Below are 12,520 nucleotides of genomic sequence, written 5' to 3'. Positions count from 1 at the left end.
ATGAGAGTCTGATACATGCTACACACCTTCTCCCCAGACAAACACACACATAGCCTCCTAAAAACTAACCTCAGGTTCAACACTCAAGCTCTCAACCCATGCCCCGTGCTCCATCTCAAAGCCCATGCCCCTCCCCTGTCTTTCAAGCTGCCTGGCTCAGCTGCAGCCGCCAGAGAGCCCCTTCCCAGGCACCTGGGTGTACCTCCTGCCCCCTCACCTCCTGGAACTCCTACCTCTTGGGGCCCAGGCCCCATCCCCCTCTCAGACTTCTCCAGCCTCATCTTTTTTTTCTTTGCTCTGTTCTTTCCAAGGGGGGCAGTGGAATTTATACAATATTTAAGCAGCCAGAGCCGAGTCTGGGAAGATATTATTAATGTAAAAGGGACGGGCTGCAAATGCTTTTGGACCTGGTTACAATTAGAGGGTGATTTTTCTAAAGGTCAATGAATTCAGATAATATCCACAGGGGGGAGAGAAATTTAATACCTTTTTAGTGAATTAATTAATTATAATATTATATCGGCTTGGGGTTCTTTTCCAGAGTGATTAAGGGAGCTATCTGTCTTCTGTGAGGCCGGAGACCGGCGCCTGCCGCCAGCGAGGACCCTGGCGCAGGGCTCAGGATGGGGGGCCCTTCCCTCTCCTCTCACCCATGCAGTGGCCAAGGAGCTAGGGGCTTGTTAGGCATGAAAGAAGACAGGCCGGACCTGGTCAGGGCTGAGGGTGGTGCAGGTATTGGCCTTTCCCCTTGGCCTGTGTCTTCCACCCCCGGGTCTGGCCCTCCTGCTGCCATGTCACCAAGCCTCATGCCATGGTGGCCTGAAGAGCTGAGATGTGGGGTATGGCCTCTTTCTTTACACTTGGAGAAACTAAGGCTCACGGGCTTCAGGGACATGCCTTAGCTCCACTGTGGGTTAGGACAGACTGAGGTGGCAGAGCTGGCTGGAAATACCGAGAAGACAAGAAGGACCTCCCTAATACCTCCCAAACCAGGCCTTCTGGAAAATCTCCACCAGCCAGAGGTCTGTGGAGCTGCCTGGGAAGCTTCTCCATCTCTTTCAGGGTGTATAGTGTGCCCAGCCTCTGCTTATAAAATGAAAATGCCCCAGGAGTATTGATACCTCCAGTTGCTGTGAGGCCTAAGATTTCTGTCCCTGGAGGGATCTGAAAGTGGCCAGGGAGTGGTGCTTTTCACCCATTTATTCATTTATTCATACTCAGTCAAATGTTCATTCAACAAACATTTGTGGCACACCTGCTCTTGTGCCATCAGAGAGACCTAAATATCACCTCTTGAGCCCCTGCCCACTTCATCTTAAGCCCCAGCTGCTCATCTAAGCAATGGAGGGTGGGGTGGGGAGAGCTCCGTGGTCCCTTTCTGTCCAGACAACAGTCCTAACTCAACCTGAAGGCGAGAAGACTGGCTGGGATGCGGTGGGTTTGTGGAGCAAAGTGGGTGCTCATTCACTCAGCATACCCTGAGCACCCACTTTGAGCTGGCCCTGTGCTGGGTGCTGGGGATATGTGGGTGGATAAAGGCCAGCTGGTCCTGGTGACAGAGTGGGCACAGGGAGGCAGATGTGAGCCTGCAATCATGATTCCGTGTGGGTTCAGCAAAAGGAGTAGAAGTGACATTAAGCTGGGTTGTGAGGGACCAGACTGACAAGGGGAGAGGGAAGGCGCATGGAAGGAGAGGGAGGGGCATTCTAGGCATTGGACACAGAGTGTGCAAAGGCCTGACAAAGGGGGGTACCTGCAGATTAGAGGAGATGGTGGGACAGTAGATGAGGCCGAGTGGGCGGCCACCTTTGTCCCCACCCACGGGCCCAGGCATGTTGACAGGAAGACAAGGCCATAGGTCGGGTCCAGGAAGGCAGGGAGCAGCAAAGCCAAATAGACTTGCTTTTCTTCCCTTGTTTTTGAGGCAGGGTCTCGCCCTGTTGCCCTGGCTGGAGAGAAGTGGAGTGATCATACCTCATTGCAACCTCAAATTCCTGGGCTCAAGGGATCCTCCTGCCTCAGCCTTCTGAGTAGCTGGGACTACAGACACACACCACCACACCTGGCTAGTTTTTGTATTTTTTGTAGAGATTAGGTTTCACTATGTTGCCCAGGTGGTCTCGAATTTATGGGCTCAAGCCATCCTCCTGCCTCAACCTCCCAAAATGTTGGGATTCCAGGCGTTAGCTGGTGTATTGCACGCTGGGCCCAGATTGCATTTAAACGTTGGCTCTGCCATGACTTGCCATGTGATGGAGCCTCCCTGTGCCTCAGTTTCCCTATCTGTAATGGGAGATTGCAATGTCTACCTCCTAAGGATGTTGTAGGAATTAAAGGAACGACTGAAGGGAAGAAGTCGGCCCTGCATTTAGCACATGATGTGGCTCCAGATATCTTAGACTGTACATGGCCCTCGAGAGGGTGGGTGGGTCAGGGCCATGCCTTCTATTGTGCCCGAAATTCCTCTTTCCTCTCAAGGGGGTGCCAGCAAAGGCCCTACCCTGGGGACATTTTTTTGGGGGGAATATCAACATTTTCCTCCCCTCATGGCTCAGCCCCATCTTTCCCCACTCCCTGCCTCTGTCCCTCTTCTCCCTTCATGCAACATCCCCTCCACCCTGACTCCCCCGCAGCAGCCTCCTCCCCCACCCTCTCCTCTCTCTCCATGTGCGGCGGGCCGGGGAGGGCCTTTCCATTGTACTATCTTTGGGCCCTAAATTAAAATTGATGACATCTTGAAATGAGCAGTGAGGGTAATTTTGCTTCTGAGCCGGGATGCTAATGAGGCCCCTTAATGGTGCAAACGCGGAGCTGACGGGTCGTGTGTCACGCGCCGCAGCGAGGGGGGTAATGGCCGCGGTAAGTGCCGGTAATTACACCCTGTCTTGCTGTATTTTGGCAGGCCTGGTGGGAGAGTGGGGGCTCAATCACCACTGGCGGGGGCACCCCCCACCCAGCACGGGACTGACAGCCAGAGATACCCACTTCCACCCAGCCAGGCCCCTCGACTTCAGCCTCACCTAGAATGAGGGGCCTGGGCACAGCCCCCTTGCCCCATGCACACATGGCATGCAAAACACATAGTCACACATGCCACAGTCAGACCATTGTGCACCCCCACCCCCACTCCACACATAACTCCACAGCCTGGGCACTCCCCCGGTATGCACAAAGCACACGCATAGACACACACACACATGCACACTCACCCGTTATGCTCCCCCATACACTTCTACACTCTGCAGATACACACTGCTCCATATACACAGCCTGCACAGCACACACACATGCACGTGCACACAAATACATTCTCAAAGAGCACACACACGTGGAGCGCCTACTGTGCTCTATGAGCTCTATGTCTGCCAACTCTACTCCCAACTCTTCTGAAATAGGTGTTATTCTCATTTTATGACACAGAAACTGAGTCTTGGGAGATTTAGCAACTTGTATAAGATCACACAGCTAGGCAGTGACAGAGACAGGACTGGAATCCAGCTGTTTTTACTTTGCAACCTTTCCAGCCCCCATATTTCCTCCTATGTATGCATGCATATACACCTCTCACTGCACAAACACACGCATGCATGCACATGTGCACAGTCATCACCCACAGATCACGTAGATCCTCTGTGCACCCAAAGACGCATACAAAGGCATTGTTCAAATACCTACGCGTTGCTGACACACATATGCAAGGTGTGCTTGGTGTGTACACACAGATGTGCACTTGTGTCACATGGTGTTTGCACCCCTCACACATGGTGAGCAGGATATCATGGAGAAGGAAGCCTAGATTCCTACATGGGGAGCTAGGCATATAGCCTCTCCAGGCTTCGGCATCTCAATCTCTAAAGAAGGGGAAATAAACACTACTCCACTTCCCTCCCCAGCACTTAACTGTTGTTAAGGCAGAATGACAGCCACACAAAGGACTGTGACGTGCCCTCCTACAAACCCCCGGCAGAATCACACACTGGGTGCACGTATATGCATTGTATGAGTGTGCATGCACTGTCCAAGTGGCGTCTAAGCTCTCTGTACATACAACATTGTATTTAGACACATCTCTGCACACACACTGTACACATGCTGTGAATACACATCACAGCACCTGTGCAGTACCCTAAGCGTACCTGCCAGTGAAACTGGAAACCCCACAAAGCCCATGGGTACTTGTCATGTGTATATACTACATCCCTTCCTCCTCCCCCCGAAAAGTATGTATCAATTCTATGATTATGGTAGAGGTTAAAAGTATAGACTTTGGCGTTTGACCGCCTGGGCTCTGCATCACTTTATTTGCTGTGTGACCTCAGGCAAATTACTTAACCTCTCTGTGCCTCATTGTCTTCCTCTGTTAAATGGGGATAATAAGAGTGCATCTGCCTCAAGGGATGCTGTCAGATTAAATGAGTTGACAGATGTAAAGCACTTAGTGCCTGGCACGTAGTAAGCCCCAGTGAGTGTTGTGATAAGGTGTACAACTACAACAAAGGAACATACCTCGGGGTGTGGCAAGCACCAAGGAGCAGGCAGTGGAAGGCAGAGGAGGGAACACTCATATACGGCTGGGGCAGTCAAGGAGGGCCTCCTGTAGGAAGAGGGATTAGGGCTGAGCCTTGAAAGACTGTAGTTTCGTTTACTGAGTTCCTGCTCTGTGTCAGGCCCTGTGCTACGTGCTTTATATGAATTATCCCAGTGAGCCTTCTGCGAACCCTGGGAGGTGACCATGGTTATGTCCATGTTAGAGATGAGGAGGAAAAGGTGCAGAGAGACTCGGTAACTCGTCCAAGGACAACAAGGGCCTAGATAAGAGAAGGAGAAGAGGCACAGGAATTCCAGGCGGGATGTGCAGCTTGTGTTGGAAATAGAGCAACAGATGGGAAACACACCCAGAGGGCCTTCCTTGCTACACTGTCATAGTTTCCAGTTAATGAGAAGGGGGTGAGCATCTGGAGTGGGGGCTGACCTAATTGCTGTGTCTCTTGCAGTGACAACAGGGACTTGTGGGGGGTGGGAGTGGCTGGCACTGCCCACAGCATGCTCAGGGCAGGGGCCAGAGCTGGGCATCTGATTCACCTCCCTTGCCCCCTCCCCCACCAAGAGCCAGGGCCTGACCCAGTTCGGGAAGAGGTGGGTGCTCCCGCTTAGGCCCTGGAGACCAGGCCTGGATCCCTGGAAAGGGACCTGGACAGGTGAGAAGCATGGAGGAGTTGGTGAGGGGTCAGTGAGCAAATCTCTGCCCACTCCACCCTGAAGCCAGCACCGCTGCACCCCAGGGCTGGTTCCTGGAGATGCCTACATGAGGAATAAGCTGTGGGCCAGGACACTGAGGCTCCCCTCAAACCGGCCTTAATATCCCTGTTGCCTCATGTCCATTAAACTGTGCAGGGCCTGACAAGCTCATTCACCACCCCTTGAAGAGATCATAGATTTTTTCCCCTCAGTGTTTTTCATGGGCTGTTCCTATTTGTAGTGCAGTTCTTGACATTCAGCAAACAGCTCCCCACAAATAGCCTCCTGTCCCCCAACCCCACAAATAACCTCTAGCCCTCCTCACCCACACACCCACCCTTTTATCTTGCTGGCATAGAGAAGGTGGGGGGCTAGGTGGGGAAGGAGGGGAAGGGCCATGGCTTCCGAGGCCCGGGACATGGGTTGGCATCCCACCTCCTCCCCTTCCTAGTGTCGGGGCTTGGGGAAGTCCTCCACCCTTATCTCTGTGCCTTTGTTTTTTCCTCTTTGGTCAGGTGGGGACAACAAGGCAGCCTCCCAGGCTGGGGTGTCTCTGGGGTTGGTGTGAATCACATCCAGCAAAGCACTTGGCCCATGCTGGGGTGGGGGTGTTACCCAAGGAGGGATCACAGCATTTATTGTCCAGATCAGGAGACTCTGAAAGTGGAAGGGGACATTATTAAAGATCACACCAGGGCAACACATGACAACTGGGACTGTCTTGGGAGCAGCAAGATGAGTGATCACTGGTCTATGAGGTGTCTGTAGCCTTTCTGTCCATCCCGCCTGGTGGGATGGGCTGGGGCGTCTGTGTACACACATGGAATGGCTAGGGCTGGGCCACCTTGGGGAAGCAGAACAGCCTGGGTGCGGAGGTGTATAGAGAGGTGGGAGCAGTCTCAGGAGCCGGAGGTGACATCCTAGACACAAGGAAGGTGGAGCTGTTGGGAGTGGCCCCCAAGGCTAGACAGAGGAGAGGAAATCTGAGGGTGGGAGAGTAGGGTGGGGGGACTCAAATCTGCAGACAGGCTTGGAGGTATGAACAACCTCCATTCCAGATCACAGTGACAGCCGCCCTCGTGGAGCACCTGCTTGGCAAAGAAGGCACTGCTCTGAGTACTTTTCATGCATTTGCTCATCCAATCCCCACAACAAGCCTATGGAGAGGGTACTATCCTTGTCTCCATTGTACAGAGGAGGAAACTGAGGCACAGAGGGGTTGAGTAACTCGCCCAACGCCACACTGCTAGGAAGGAAAGAGCTGAAATTTGAGCCCAGGCAGCCTGCTCCTGTTCCCTGGGGGCCCTCCCTTCTCCTGGCTCTGCAGAGAAGTTAAGCTGTGTTGCTGGGGGGCAGATGGCTCCATGGAAGGGGCAAGTCCCCTTCCCAGCCCAGGTCCCAGTTTCCAACACTGTGGGACCCGGGAAATTCTGCAGGAGGCTGCCGGGCCAGGGGAGAGCAGCTTGGCTTTGGAGAAGGCCTGCTTGGACCTGGCTCCACCCCTCACTCGCAGTGTGAACCTCCTGGGTATATTTCTCAATTTTGTGGAGCCGGTCTCCTCAACGTGGAAGACGCCTGTTCCGTTGGGCATCGGGAGGTTCAATATTCTCAGCTGTGGGAGGCGACTGGTGTGAGGCGGGCCTTTCGAGAAGGCTGGTTCCCTCTCACTCTCTGAGCTGGGCCTGTCCTGGGCTCCCCTCACCCCAGGGAGGAAGAAACTCAGCGCTCTGGAACACCTGCTTTACTCCTCATCTGGGCCAGGGGTTTGAAGGAGGAGGGCTGCAAAGGCCAGGATCCAAGGCGCTCAGTGATCATTTGTGTCACGATTATGGAAGGGCAGCTAGCTTCAGGCCAGGGCGGTGAGTGCTATTCCAGCTGAGGCTCTGGAGCAGGCTGGGCTCAGGCACTGGGCTGGGTGGTGGGGTTGCCAACTCTGCGCCCCTCAGGTACCTTAGCTGGTAGGTCCTAGGAAAGGGGTGGGGGACAGAGGGGGCTGCCTCCTAATGAACAATTAGTGTCTGCTGCGTGGCTAATCATGTGGTTCCGTGTAATTAAGAAGTTAATTAGTGCTGTGTCAATTAAGGTTTAATTAGTCCCCTCTTCAGAGAAGCCTGAAATGCCCTCCTGCTGGAAGCTTCTGGAATGGAAGGTGGGGGAGCGGGAGGCAGATGGAAGAGGGGACAGTGGGTGGGGAGGGGGCCCCACTTCCTTTTGTGCCCCTCCCAGTTCTGGGATCAGTGACTTGCTGCCCCCAGCCCCACCCGACTGGCCCTGGTCATGACGACTTTGGGGCCCTACAAGGCTCTCTTCTACCACCAGGGCTTGCCCACTCCAGAGGGATGCTACCCTGTGGCGCTCTTGTGGAAGGCCCTCTTAAGCCACTGCACCCGGTTCTCTACATCTGCTTTTGGGTAACTTTCTTTTTCTTTTCTTTTTTTTTTTTTTTTTTTTTTGAGACAGAGTTTTGCTCTTGTTGTCCAGGCTGGAGTGCAATGGCGTGATCTTGGCTCACTGCAACCTCCGCCTCCCAGGTTCAAGCGATTCTCTGCCTCAGCCTTCCCGAGTAGCTGGGATTATAGGCATGTGCCACCACGCCTGGCTAATTTTGTATTTTTAGTAGAGACGGGGTTTCTCCATGTTGGTCAGGCTGGTCTCGAACTCCTGACCTCAAGTGATCCACCCACCTCGGCCTCCCAAAGTGCTGGGATTACAGGCGTGAGCCACCATGCCTGGCCGTCCCTAGTCTTTTTACCACTCCCTTCTTCCATGATGGACATCATTGAACGTAAGACTTTCAAGCACATCTTGGATAATTTCTTTAGGACATGACTAAGAGAAAAGATGAGGCTTTTGGTTTGATCTTCTACTAACCCCCACTCTGCCCTTGCCATCTAATCAGAGTTGCTTGGGGCCATCGCTGCCCTGACGGCCTCTTTTCTCTAGTGTCTGTTCAACCCGCTGCAGCCGCCTCATGCCTGCTTCCTCTGCCTTTCATCTTTTTACTCTTGATGGTATTATGAGCACAAATTGGCTCCACCTTCCAGGAAGTTCTGACCTGGACAGTTCCCTGGTGCTTCCGCGAGGAAACCCACAATCCTTGGTGGTCCCTGTGTCGCATCCCCAGCCTGGCTGTTGGCTACTTCTCTGAGTTCCCCCAATCATTCAGCTGGACAAGGCTCCTCTCCTGTCCAGAGTGCCTATCTCTGACCTTCTGCAACTGCTTCTGTTGGATTTTCCTCTGAACTCCAAATTTCCCAAACCAAACACCAGCTGCTCCATGAAACTTTTCTTGATTCCCTCCTCTCAGAGGGATGTTTCCAACTTCAGAACAAAGGATGAAGAAGGCTGGTAGAGATTATGCCTCCTGCTTGACCTCCTGCCAGGTGTTGGCGGGATGGCATTGCTGGGCCATGGCAGCGTGTGGTCAGTGAGGGTTGTGCAGTAAGCCCCCTACTCTCTGAATGGAAGGAGGCACTCAGCACCGTCACTCTGACCCAGAGCCGTCCTTGCACTTCAACAATCATTTCTAAGCATTTTCTTAATGCCAGGCCCTGACCTAGATCAGGAAACAGACAGATGAATAAGACTAACCCTTGCCTACAGTTTAGTAAACAGCCCCTTAGGAAGCAACGTGGGGAGTGCCTGGGGCTCCTGGGAATGCAAAGGAGAGGCCCCCAGCACCATCTCCAAGGTGGGCACTGCTGGTGTGACTGGCACGAGCCTTCGTCTCCCTCCTCCCATCCCCCAACCCCAAAGGGGTAGCAGGAAGACCCACTGGGGGAGGGAAGCAGAGAGATTTGGCTCGAGGAGGGAGGAAATGAAATGGAGAACAGAGATAATTGTTCCCATTTGGCAACTTTTTCTAATTAGGGACCAATTATGTCCTTGGGTACCTAATTGGGGACCTGGTAGATTCTCTAATTTGCTAGGTAATTACTGGCCAGTAGTTCTACCAGCATGAAATTTGGGGGAAAAATACATGATCACAACAATTGAATTTTCTCTGTTTCAGACGCTTTGCCCAGAAGACAAGCTGGGTGCTCTGAGCTCTCTTTTGCCTCTGTTAACACCGCCTCCCGCCACCTGTCTCTCCTCAGGCTTCCACTGGGCTGTGTGCCCTTCCTGGTCGCTCAGCTCCAGGAGCTGGCAATCTAGCTGGAAACCATCAGCCAACACCACAGGGATATGGGGACATCTGTGTTTTTGTCTCCCTCGAATTCATCCAGCTTTTGGTAACATGGAATTACTAGGTGTGAGAAACTGTTCTAGGTAACACACATACACAGGCACAGACAGCTTTATTAAATTCCACAACCCACTGACATTGGCATCATTGTTAATCCCATTTTACAGATGAGAAAACTGAGGTACTAAGAGGTCAAGTTAAATATAGGAATTTACCCTAAAGAAATGATCCAAGATGTGCTTGAAGGTTTTATGTTCAAGGATGTCCATCATGGTGTCATTTACAACGTCCAACACAATCGGAGCTGGGGCAGATAGTCCGACCTTGAGTGCTCACACGCTATTCCATATTGTACCTTTCCATTAAATTGCTCTGCCTCAGTTCTCCTCTGTGAAATCATTCCTAACCACAATGCAATACCACCTTACTCCTGCAAGAATGGCCATTATCGAAAAATTAAAAAATAATCAAAGTTGGCGTGGATGTGGTGAAAAGGGAACATTTTACACTGTGGGCGAGAATGTAAACTAGTACAACCACTATGGAAAACGGTGTGGAGATTCCTTAAAGAACTGAAAGAACTGGCTGGGTGCAGTGCCTCATGCTTGTAATCCCAGCATTTTGGGAGCCTGAGGTGGGTGGATCACGAGGTCAGAAGATAGAGACCATCCTGGCTAACATGGTGAAACCCTGTCTCTGCTAAAAATACAAAAAATTAGCTGGGTGTGGTGGCACGTGCCTGTAATCCCAGGTGCTCGGGAGGCTGAGGCAGGAGAATTGCTTGAACCCAGGAGGCTGAGGTTGCAGTGAGCAGAGACAGCGCCATTGCACTCCAGACTGGGTGACAGAGCGAGACTCCATCTCAAAAACAAAACAAAACAAAACAAAACAAAACAAAACAAACAAACAAAAGAACTAAAAGAACTACCATTTGATCCAGGAGTCCCACTCCTGGGTATCTACCCAGAGGAAAAGAAGTCATTATACGAAAAATATACTTGGACACACATGTTTATAGAAGCACAATTCACAATTGCAAAAATGTGGAACCTGCCCAAATGCCCATCAGTAAACGAGTGGATAAAGAAACTGTGGCATATATATGATGGCATACTATTCACCCATAAAAAGGAATGAATTAATGGCATTTGCAGCAACCTGGAGGGATTGGAGATTATTATTCTAAGTGAAGTAACTCAGGAATGGAAAGCCAAACATTTTATGTTCTCACTTATAAGTGGGAGCTAAGCTATGAGGATGCAAAGGCATAAGAATGATACAATGGACTTTGGGGACTCTTGGGAAAGGGTGGGAAGGGGGTGAGGGATAGAAGACTAAAAATTGGTTCAGTGTATACTGCCTGGGTGATGGGTGCACCAGAATCTCACAAATCACCGCTAAAGAATTTACTCATGTAACCAAATACCACCTGTTCTCCAAAAACCTATGGAAATAAATTAAAAAAAAAGAACTAAAAACATGCTATGTACAGAAAGAAAGAAAGAAAAAAGTCTACTTCATAAAAAATAAAATGGCTTTATTGAGATATAAAGCCATTTATTGCACATATTTAAGTGTACAATTTGATAAGATTTGATGTATGTATCCACCCATGAAGCTATCACCACAGTCAAGATAGTGAACACATCCATTACCCCCAAAGGGTTCCTTATGATCCTTTGTGATCCCTCCCTTTTGTTTCTCCCTATCCCACCTCCAACCCCAGGCAACTACTGATGTGCTTTCTGTGCGATAGATTAGTTTGTACTGTTTAGAATTTCACAAAACTGGAATCATAGAGAACGCACCTATTTTTCTCTGGCTTCCTTTAGTAGGCATAATTAGTTTTGTCTGTGAATCTAATGAGATGCATAACTGAGACACATTCATGTTGTTGCATGTATCAGTATTTCTTTCCCTTTTAATGGCTGAGTAATATTCCATTGTATGGATATACCAGAATTTGTTTATTCATTCAAATTTAAAGACATTGGGTTGTTTAGAAGTTTGACTATTGTGAATAACACTGCTATGAACATTTGTCTACAAATATTTGTAGGGACAAGTGCTTTCATTTCTCTTCAGTAAATACCTAGGAGTAGAATGCCTGGGTCATGAGGTGGGTGTATGTTCAACTTTTTAAGAAATTGTTGGTCGGGCACGGTGGCTCACGCCTATAATCCCAGCACTTTGGGAGGCCAAGGCAGGTGGATCATGAGGTCAAGAGATCGAGACCATCCTGGCCAACATGGGGAAAACCCGTTCCCTAAAAATACAAAAAAAAAATTAGCTGGGCATGGTGGCACGAGCCTGTAGTCCCAGCTACTTGGGAGGCTGAGGCAGGAGAATCACTTGAACCTGGGAGGCGGAGGTTGCAGTGAGCCGAGATTGCGCCATTGCACTCCAGCCTGGCGACGGGGTGAGACTCCGTCTCAAAAAAAAAAAAAAAAGAAATTGCCAAAATGTTTTCAAAGTGATCATATCATTTTACATTCCCACTAACAATATATGAGAATTCCAATTCTTCCACAGCCTCAATAATATTTGGTGTGGTCAGTTTTTAATTTTGGCCATTCTAATAGATATATAGTGATATCTCATGGTGGGTTTAATTTTAATTTCCCTAATAACTAATGATGTCGAACATCTTTTCATATGTTTATTTGCCATCTGTATTTTTTCTTCGGGGAAGTGTCCAAATCTTTTGCCAGTTTTGTTGGGTTGCTTGTTTTCTTTATTGAGTTTTGAGAGTTCCTAATGCATTCTAGAAACAAATCTTTTATCAGATATCAAATCCTTTACCACTTTCCTGGTAAGGAGTTCAGAGAGCTCCTCCATTTTTCTCGCAGAGAAACTAATGCTAAGGGAAGGAAGTACATCAGTCAATACGTTTCCAGCTAAAAATAATAGAAAACCCAACTAAAGTGCTTAAGAATGATTCTATAACAGGATGTTCAGAGATAGTGTGGTTCCAGGGTTGGTTAATTCAGTGGTGAAGATGTCATAAGGAGTAGATAGTTTTCTTCTTTCCACTCTGGAGTCCTTGAGAGTTTGTCTTGACCTCTTAGACTGGCTACCTTCAATAGGCCCAAGGTG

General features: G+C 50.0%; 4 annotated features.

The window, feature by feature from the left end:
- Nucleotides 2,415-2,928: an enhancer, noted in NCBI's record as "H3K4me1 hESC enhancer chr6:41645325-41645838 (GRCh37/hg19 assembly coordinates)". NCBI's record gives its function as "activates a minimal SCP1, AML or CMV promoter by ChIP-STARR-seq in naive H9 embryonic stem cells {active_cell/tissue: H9 hESC(naive)}" and the evidence as "EXISTENCE:reporter gene assay evidence [ECO:0000049][PMID:30033119]".
- Nucleotides 2,929-3,443: an enhancer, noted in NCBI's record as "H3K4me1 hESC enhancer chr6:41644810-41645324 (GRCh37/hg19 assembly coordinates)". NCBI's record gives its function as "activates a minimal SCP1, AML or CMV promoter by ChIP-STARR-seq in naive H9 embryonic stem cells {active_cell/tissue: H9 hESC(naive)}" and the evidence as "EXISTENCE:reporter gene assay evidence [ECO:0000049][PMID:30033119]".
- Nucleotides 5,145-5,646: an enhancer, noted in NCBI's record as "H3K4me1 hESC enhancer chr6:41642607-41643108 (GRCh37/hg19 assembly coordinates)". NCBI's record gives its function as "activates a minimal SCP1, AML or CMV promoter by ChIP-STARR-seq in naive H9 embryonic stem cells {active_cell/tissue: H9 hESC(naive)}" and the evidence as "EXISTENCE:reporter gene assay evidence [ECO:0000049][PMID:30033119]".
- Nucleotides 6,225-6,724: an enhancer, noted in NCBI's record as "H3K4me1 hESC enhancer chr6:41641529-41642028 (GRCh37/hg19 assembly coordinates)". NCBI's record gives its function as "activates a minimal SCP1, AML or CMV promoter by ChIP-STARR-seq in naive H9 embryonic stem cells {active_cell/tissue: H9 hESC(naive)}" and the evidence as "EXISTENCE:reporter gene assay evidence [ECO:0000049][PMID:30033119]".

This window comes from Homo sapiens, chromosome 6 (assembly GCF_000001405.40).
Source record: "Homo sapiens chromosome 6, GRCh38.p14 Primary Assembly".
Taxonomy (NCBI): Eukaryota; Metazoa; Chordata; class Mammalia; order Primates; family Hominidae; genus Homo; species Homo sapiens.
This window is presented reverse-complemented; position numbering and strand designations above follow the sequence as displayed.